The sequence below is a fragment of the Homo sapiens genome, chromosome 10 (assembly GCF_000001405.40).
Source record: "Homo sapiens chromosome 10, GRCh38.p14 Primary Assembly".
NCBI classification, from domain to species: Eukaryota; Metazoa; Chordata; class Mammalia; order Primates; family Hominidae; genus Homo; species Homo sapiens.
In genome coordinates this window covers 46,838,986-46,846,973 of record NC_000010.11, presented here as the reverse complement: position 1 = coordinate 46,846,973, position 7,988 = coordinate 46,838,986, and positions in this window count along the sequence as shown.

Here is a 7,988-nt window from a genome sequence, read left to right as displayed (position 1 = left end):
CTCCTTTGGAAAGGCTAATCAGAAACTCAGAAGAATGCCACTTGTCTTTCACCTACCTGTGACCTGGCAGCCTTCTCACTGCTTGTGCTGTCCCACCTTTCTTGGCAGAACCAATGTATATCTTCCATATATTGATTGATGTCTCATGTCTCCCTAAAATGTATAAAACCAAGCTGTGCCCTGACTACCTTGGGCACGTGTCATCAGGACCTCCTGAGGCTGTGTCACAGGTGTGCCTCCTCAACCTTGGCAAAATAAACTTCCTAAATTAACTGAGACCCTTCTCAGATATTCAAGGCTCACATTTTGGCAACCATGAAGGGATTCTGGGTGGAGGCTCCCCTGACCTTTGAGAAATCTCCTATCAGTGCTCGGTACCAGCTTGAACTATCTTTATGGCTCAAACCAATAGAACAATTTGCCGAGACAGGCCTGGAAGCACCCCCTCCAGAGAATCACTGATCTTTCAAAACTTGGTCAAGATCTAAAGTTTATTTTGCAGTACAACTCCTTTTTTTTGGAGTTTTACTATCTTCCAACGCAAGAAAGGCAAGTTTTTCCTGCTTTGATGACGATGAAATGCAGGTAACTCCTTTATGGAGTTTGAGCTTGCTTCCAACGGGGAAGACAAATGTGAGTTTCTTCCTTCTTCTAGTAAGGGAGGAGACCACCCCTCATATCGTCTTATGCCCAATTTTTGCCTCCAAAGAAAGAAGTAAAAACTAAAAGGCAGAAATGAAATCCACAGGCAGACAGCCTGGCGCCGCACCCTGGGCTTGGTAGTTAAAGATCGACCCCTGACCTAATTGGTTATGTTATCTATAGATTACAGGCATTGTATAGAAATGCACTGTGAAAATCCCTATCCTGTTTTGTTCCAATCTAATTACTGGTGCATGCAGCCCCCAGTCACATACCCCCTGCTTGCTCAATCAATCATGACCCTCTCACACGCACCTCTTAGAGTTGTGAGCCCTTAAAAGGGACAAGAATTGCTCACTTGGGGAGCTCGGCTCTTGAGACAGGAGTCTTGCCGATGCCCCCGGCCAAATAAACCCCTTCCTTCTTTAATTCGGTGTCTGAGGAGTTTTGTCTGCAGCTCGTCCTGCTACACTAGGATGGTAAAGAGCAGTCTTCAGCCTGAGACCCATCCCTTACCTAAGGATGGGTAACTAAACTGGGGGTTGTCTTGGCTAAAGTTAAGATTAACAACCAGCTGGTTGTAATTTCTCTTTACCATTAGAGCACTCAGTAGTTGGATAAGTTGTGCCATCTTTGTTTTGCTTAATTGTTTTTGTTGTTGTTGTTTGTTTGTTTCTGTTTTTGTTGTTGTTTCAGTCTTTTTGCCATTGGGATTGATCAACTCTATCCGACTTGATCAAATCCAAAGGAAACTTCCAAATTATAGGGAACAAGACCTCTGAAGTGGCTAAATTTCCACACTGTGGTGGGGGAGAAAAACAGCCAAAAAAGGGGAAAAAAAAAAACAGGGAAGATTTTTTACTTTGACTACTTAAGGGGCTTTATTTACATAACAAGGCCACCTTTTTGCTAGCCAGGCCAAACTGAAAGAGCAATGGCTGTCACTCCATACTGCAGTTCCATAGCTAAGGGCTCTGGCTTCTTTTTTTCCACCACGACAGCTTGGGTGTGTTTCCTAAATCAAGCCATTTTCGGTTTGATACTTGGTACTTCTGAAATAGCAGCAATTTGTTCTAGCTGAATTATGGTAATGAGATTTTAAAAGATTTTTTTAAAGGAGCTCAATGATTAAAAGTCAGCTTAACTAAAAGCTAACATCCAAGATGTGTGTGTGTATGTGTTTGTGCATGTGTGTGTGTGTGTGTATGTGTGTGTGTTTGTATTGAAAAGGCCTTCACATATTTTTTTTTTTCTCCTAGGACCTTGTCTCTCTTTTTTTTTTTTTTAGTTAAAGATTTTTTTTTCTCAGTTGACTGAGTTCTGTTTTTTGTTTTGTTTTGTTTTGTTTTATTTACTTCTGCTGCCTCTCCTTTCTCTTGCACCCTCTGCTGCTTGAGGGACCTAAACTATTATAGTTTATAATAGCCTGGCTTTCCTTCAAGAAAGCAGAGAAGGCACCAGACTCCTTTTTGGGGAGAAACCTGTTTTTCCTTATGAAACCCCAAGAGTGTAAGCAGATAAGTTCATCTCAGCTCTTAAATTGCCTGCTTTTGTATTGTGTTACCTGACTTATTGACTAAAAGAGTTGTTGCACCAAAGCCTCCTCTGGTTTTTAAGGAAGAGTGTAGTTTACACATTGGAAGTGTCTTCGTTTAAAAAAAAATTTTAAGTGCACTGAAAAAGCATCACATGGTCTAGCCTCATAATAATTCTCCCTTTTGGGAGATTCAGGATTCAGTGTGGGCTCTGCCCAGAGCTCAGAGATCTAGTCAAAAGACAGGTATTTCCTACATAAATAAAATTAGTCTCTTCATATAATCCTATGACAGATTTCTTTTTTTTTTTTTTTCTGAGACAGAGTTTTCGCTCTTGTTGCCCAGGCTGGAGTGCAGTGGCGCAGTTTCGGCTCACTGCAACCTCCACCTCCCGGGTTCAAGTGATTCTTCTGCCTTAGTCTCCTGAGTAGCTGGGACTACAGGCGCCCACCACCACACCTGGCTAATTTTTGTATTTTTAGTAGAGACGGGGTTTCACCATGTTGGGCAGGATGGTCTTGATCTCCTGACCCCAAGATCCGCCTGCCTCGGCCTCCCAAAGTGCTGGGATTACAGGCATGAGCCACCGTGGCCGGCTATCCTATGATAGATATCTGTAACTTTATGTTTGATTTGGCATCCCTCTTTTGTTTTGTTTTGTTTTGTTTGAGACGGAGGCTCTCTCTGTCACCCAGCCTGGAGTGCAGTGACACAATCTCGGCTCACTGAAACCTCTGCCTCCCAGGTTCAAGCGATTCTCCCACCTCAGCCTCCCAAGTAGCTGGAATTACAGGCATATGCCACCACACCTGGCTAATTTTTGTATTTTTAGTAGAAACGGGTTTTCACCATGTTGGCCAGGGTGGTCTCGAACTCCTGACCTCAGATGATCTGCCCGCCTCGACCTCCTAAAGTGCTGGGATTACAGGTCTGAGCCACTGCCCCTGGTGTAGTACATGGTTTTACTGCATGTGACTAGTTTACATGCAACTAGCCATGCAAGTTCAGTAACCCAAGGCGGTCTATACCCTGTTCAACAAGAACCATCTACTAATGACACTTCTGGAAGTCTGGGCAATGTCAACTTGCTGTAAAAGTTCCCAAATGCTCTCAATTATCATATGATAACAAAGGTCTCAAATCAGTAAATTTTGAGTGGCCCTTTACTAGGAATAATCTTGAATAAGCTAGTACTGCCCTCCACAACCACAATTAAAAATATATCGGTATTGGTTTTCTCTTCAGTTCAAGAATCATGTAAATATGTAATGTAGAAAATGAGGATTTCCCATATTCCCACAGAATCACAAAGATGATCACTGGTAATATGCGTGCTACATATATGATACCAGGTTTATTCTACTCTTTTTTTTTTTTTTTTTTTTTTGAGACAGAGTCTCACTCTGTCGCTCAGGCTAAAGTCCAGTGCTACGATCTCAGCTCACTGCATCCTCTGCCTCCTAGGTTCAAGCAACTCTCCCACCTCAGCCTCCCAAGTGGCCGGAATTACAGGCACCTGCCACCATGCCCACCCAGCTAATTTTTTTATATTTTTAGTAGAGACGAGGTTTCACTAAGTAGACCAAGTTGGTCTTGAACTCCTGACCTCTGGTGATCCACCCACCTCGGCCTCCCAAAATGCTGGGATTACAAGCATGAGCCACCATGCCTGGCCATTTTTTTGTACTTTTATACAATTATATGCTTGCTTTATAAAAATGAACTTATTCTACATATATATGTTATTACATTATTAGGACATGTTCCCAAATGACATATTACATTTTCATCATTCTTTTTTAAAATATTTTTTCGTGAGACAGTGTCTTGCTCTGTTGCCCAGGCTGGAGTGCAGTGGCCTAATCACAGGTCACTGCAGCCTGAAACTCCTGGGTTCAAGGGATCCTCCTCTCTCGGCCTCCTGAGTAGCCCAGCTAAGTTTAAAAAAAATTTTTTTTTGGCCTGGCATGGTGGCTCACGCCCATAATCTCAGCACTTTGGAAGGCCAAGGCGGGCAGATCACTTGGGGTCAGGAGTTTGAGACCATCCTGGCCAACATGGTGAAACACCGTCTCTACTAAAAATACAAAAATTAGCTGGGCGTGGTGGCAGGTGCCTGTAATCCCAGTTACTTGAGAGGCTGAGGCAGGAGAATCGCTTGAGCCCAGGAGGCGGAGGGTGCAGTGAGTCGAGATCATGCCACTGCACTCTAGCCTGGGTGACAGAGCAAGACCCTGTCTCAAAAATAAATAAATAAATAATTAAATAAATATATATATATATGTATGTATATTTGGAGAGACAGGTCTCACTATGTTGCCCAAGCTGGTTTTGAACTCCTGGACTCAAGCAATCTTCCCATCTGGGTTCCCAAAGTGTTGGGATTACAGGTGTGAGCCACCATGCCCAGACATTTTCATCATCCTTTTTTTTTGAGACGGAGTTTTGCTCTTGTTGCCCAGGCTGGAGTGCAATGTCACGATCCCGGCTCACTGCAACATCCACCTCCCAGGTTCAAGTGACTCTCCTGCCTCAGCCTCCTGAGTAGCTGGGATTACAGGCATGAGCCATCACGCCCAGCTAATTTTGTATTTTTAGAGGACACAGGGTTTCTCCACTGTTTTTACTAGACCTTGATCACATCAAAAAGATTGTGTCTCTTCCATTTATTGTGCAGCTTGTACACAATTGACACAATGAGGAGCTCAGCAAAGGACGCAGAGTGACAGCATCCTCCCTTCAGTGGAATGGCCATGTCTAGACACCTCTTAATCACTCCCGAGAAGTAGGGATGGGTTCGGTGTATGAGAATAAGAAACGGAGCCTCCAGGGTTGAGACAATTTGCCCAAAACACACCTCTTGTGGGAAGTACAGTTGCGATCCCCCAGGTCTCTTGGGCTTGCAGGTTCCTGCTCTCCCGTGGGCCCCCAGGAGATGTTGGCTGCCAAGAGGAGGAGGAATCCTCCTGGGCAGAGGTTAACTTTTGCCACTCCAGGATTTGCCCACCCTGGGGTCCCTGCCAGGAATGTTCCCCCAGCACCACCCTCCCCATGCCGCCTCCTAACTGGCTGTGTCCTTCCCACCATTCAGCAAACACATCCTACGTCCAGGACCAGCCCCTTCATCTCAGGAAGGCTGCCATGGGACTCCCAGAACCCCCATGGCTCCTGGAGCCCTGAGGGAATCACATCTTGGGTGGGGAGTGATTTGTTTTCTCATCCAGTGCAACCTTGGAGGTAACAGTCAAGAATGTCCTGTGATGCGAAGCACTTATTGTCCTGACCTCTGGTCCAGTGCCCTTCGCTCTAAGCACATAGCATCCCCAGGCTGTTCCTGGAGGCGTGGGCTGGGGTTTGTAGGGACTAGCTGGACCAGCTGGGCCAGGGGAGGCAGCCATGCCCGGGGCACATAGCCACTGTCCAGAGCTGCCCCCAGAGCTGGGAGCCATCTTGCACATGGTGCTGTGAGATGCCCTCCAGAGAGGAAGATGGAAGCTGTCTCCGTGCCCCGGGACTGATGAAGGGCCCATTCCAGGCCTTTGGGCACCCGGGCTCACTACCCTTCTGGGAGCCCTGTCCTGTGGGCCAGGACAAAGGTGCCCTCACTGGTGGCATTCTCAGAAGCTCAGCCGCTCCCCACACATGCACATAGGGGCGTGCCCACACCAAGCCACGTGTGGGTGTCTGGGGACAATGAGTCTTGGGGGAGGGGGTGGGTCCCTTCCAGAAGGGTCTGGCCAAAGTCCAGTTATGAAGGTGAGCTGAGATGGGCTCCCTCAAAGGAGCCATAGTGTGGGGAGCCCCGGGCAGAGCCCAGAGAGAAATGCCAGCCCCGAGACCGAGACACGCTCCAAGGAGTGCTGCCAAGAGCAGTAGACACAGCCGCTGAGGCCCACGGGGCACAGTGAGGCTGTGGGAGAGGGTGGCCCCTCTGTGGCCATTTCCCTGCCTGTGCTCACATCCCCTCCTCAGGCCTGTCTCACCAGCTCTTGCAGCCCATGACCCACATTCTGTCTGACTCTCCTTCCTCTCCTGGCTACAGGGATCCCCAGTGCCCCTCACCATTCCTTCTGGTCTCTCCTCTGCCTCCCGGAACTGTTCCCCAGGACTCTCTCCTGGGCCAGCCCTTCCTGCCCCTCCACATCAGTGGTTCCGAACCCCGGATGCCTTTGGGATCAGCTGGGTACACTTTAAATCCTTCCAGCCCAGAGCCCTCAGGCCCAAGTCACCCCCGCCAGCTCCTGTGGGACCCCTTGGATCAGCCAACCATTTTATCATCATCCATCATGTCCCCTGTCACCAAGGGCCTCTGGCATGTTCTGTTGTCCCCATGCCCACCCTGGCACCCCTCACCCACCAACCTGTGCCCACGTCCTGCCTTGAGCCTGTTTCCCCTCCTGAGTGGTATTTCCTCACTCCAGGTGGGCACTGGGGCAGCTGGCAGACATGGCTGTGAGCTTCTGTCCCATCCAGAGGGACCCTCCCTTCCAGATTACCCAGTCAAGCTTGACCCCATGGTGTCACCGAGACGGACCAAAAGAGGGTATTGAAGCCACGCAGTCCCCCGAGCCCCACTGAGCTGCACCAGCTTTGGAGCCGGAGAGAGCCTGGGAGACTGAGCACTGAGTGCTAGGTCCCTTCTTCCCACTCTTGAGGGAGAAATCATTGTAACCTTCCCTTCCTCCCACTCTTGAGGGCCCTGGGGGGACACAGGGCACAAGGAGGGTGGCAGAAGAGGTGTGTGCCTAGGTGCTTGGCACCTAGCCGGGGTTCATTTCTGTCCTCTCAACTTGGCCTCCCAAAGTGCTGGGATTACAGGCATGAGATACTGTACCTGGTCTTATTTTTTCTTTTCTTAAGATACAGGGTCTCACCATCTGGCCCAAGCTGGACTCAAACTGCTGAGCTCAAGTAATTCCCCCACCTCAGCCTCCGAAGTAGCTAGGACTAAAGGCATGAAACCACCATGCTTGGCTTGTCCAATTTCATTCTACACACTTTCTCGGTATTTAAACAGCTGCTGTTGCTCTTCATTCTGTAGCTCTACATCAGATTCATGCTCTAGTCCTGTATATCCAAATGATGACTACAGGCTGCCGGCTCTGCTCTTTCAAAGGCACAATGAGCGTAGCCCATCTACAAAACTCTCCCTTTTCCAATCCAGCTTTCCCTCCTGCATCACCTATCTCTCTACATCTGGAACCATCGGCAGCTGCCTTCATAAGGCACGTCGGTCTGGCATTCGGAAAACCACCCTGTCTTGCCAGAGCCTCTTGGTCTTGGGTAGCAAAAGCTGTATGCAATCTAAATCAAGCTTTCAATCATGAGAAATCACATTCCTTCTTTTCCCTTTGTAATATACTCATGTGTTTTTTTTTTTTCCTTTCTCAATAAGCAAATTGTACCACCATCTTATTCTGAGATGCTCCTTTTTAAAAGCTGTAGATCACATTAATGGAAGTGTTTACTGCTGGGAATATTTTCCACGTGCAATGATCTGTAACCCTCTTTTTCTTTTTTTTTTGAGACCGAGTCTCGCTCTGTTGCCCAGGCCGGAGTGCAGTGACACAATCTCTGCTCACTGCAAGCTTTGCCTCCTGAGTTCATGCCATTCTCCTGCCTCAGCCTCCCAAGTAGCTGGGACTACAGGTGCCCGCCACCACGCCCAGCTAATTTTTTTTTTTTGAGATGGAGTCTCGCTTGGTCACCCAGGCTGGAGTGCAGTGGTGCAATCTCAGCTCATTGCAAGCTCCGCCTCCTGGGTTCACGCCATTCTCCTGCCTCAGCCTCCTGAGTAGCTGGGACTACAGG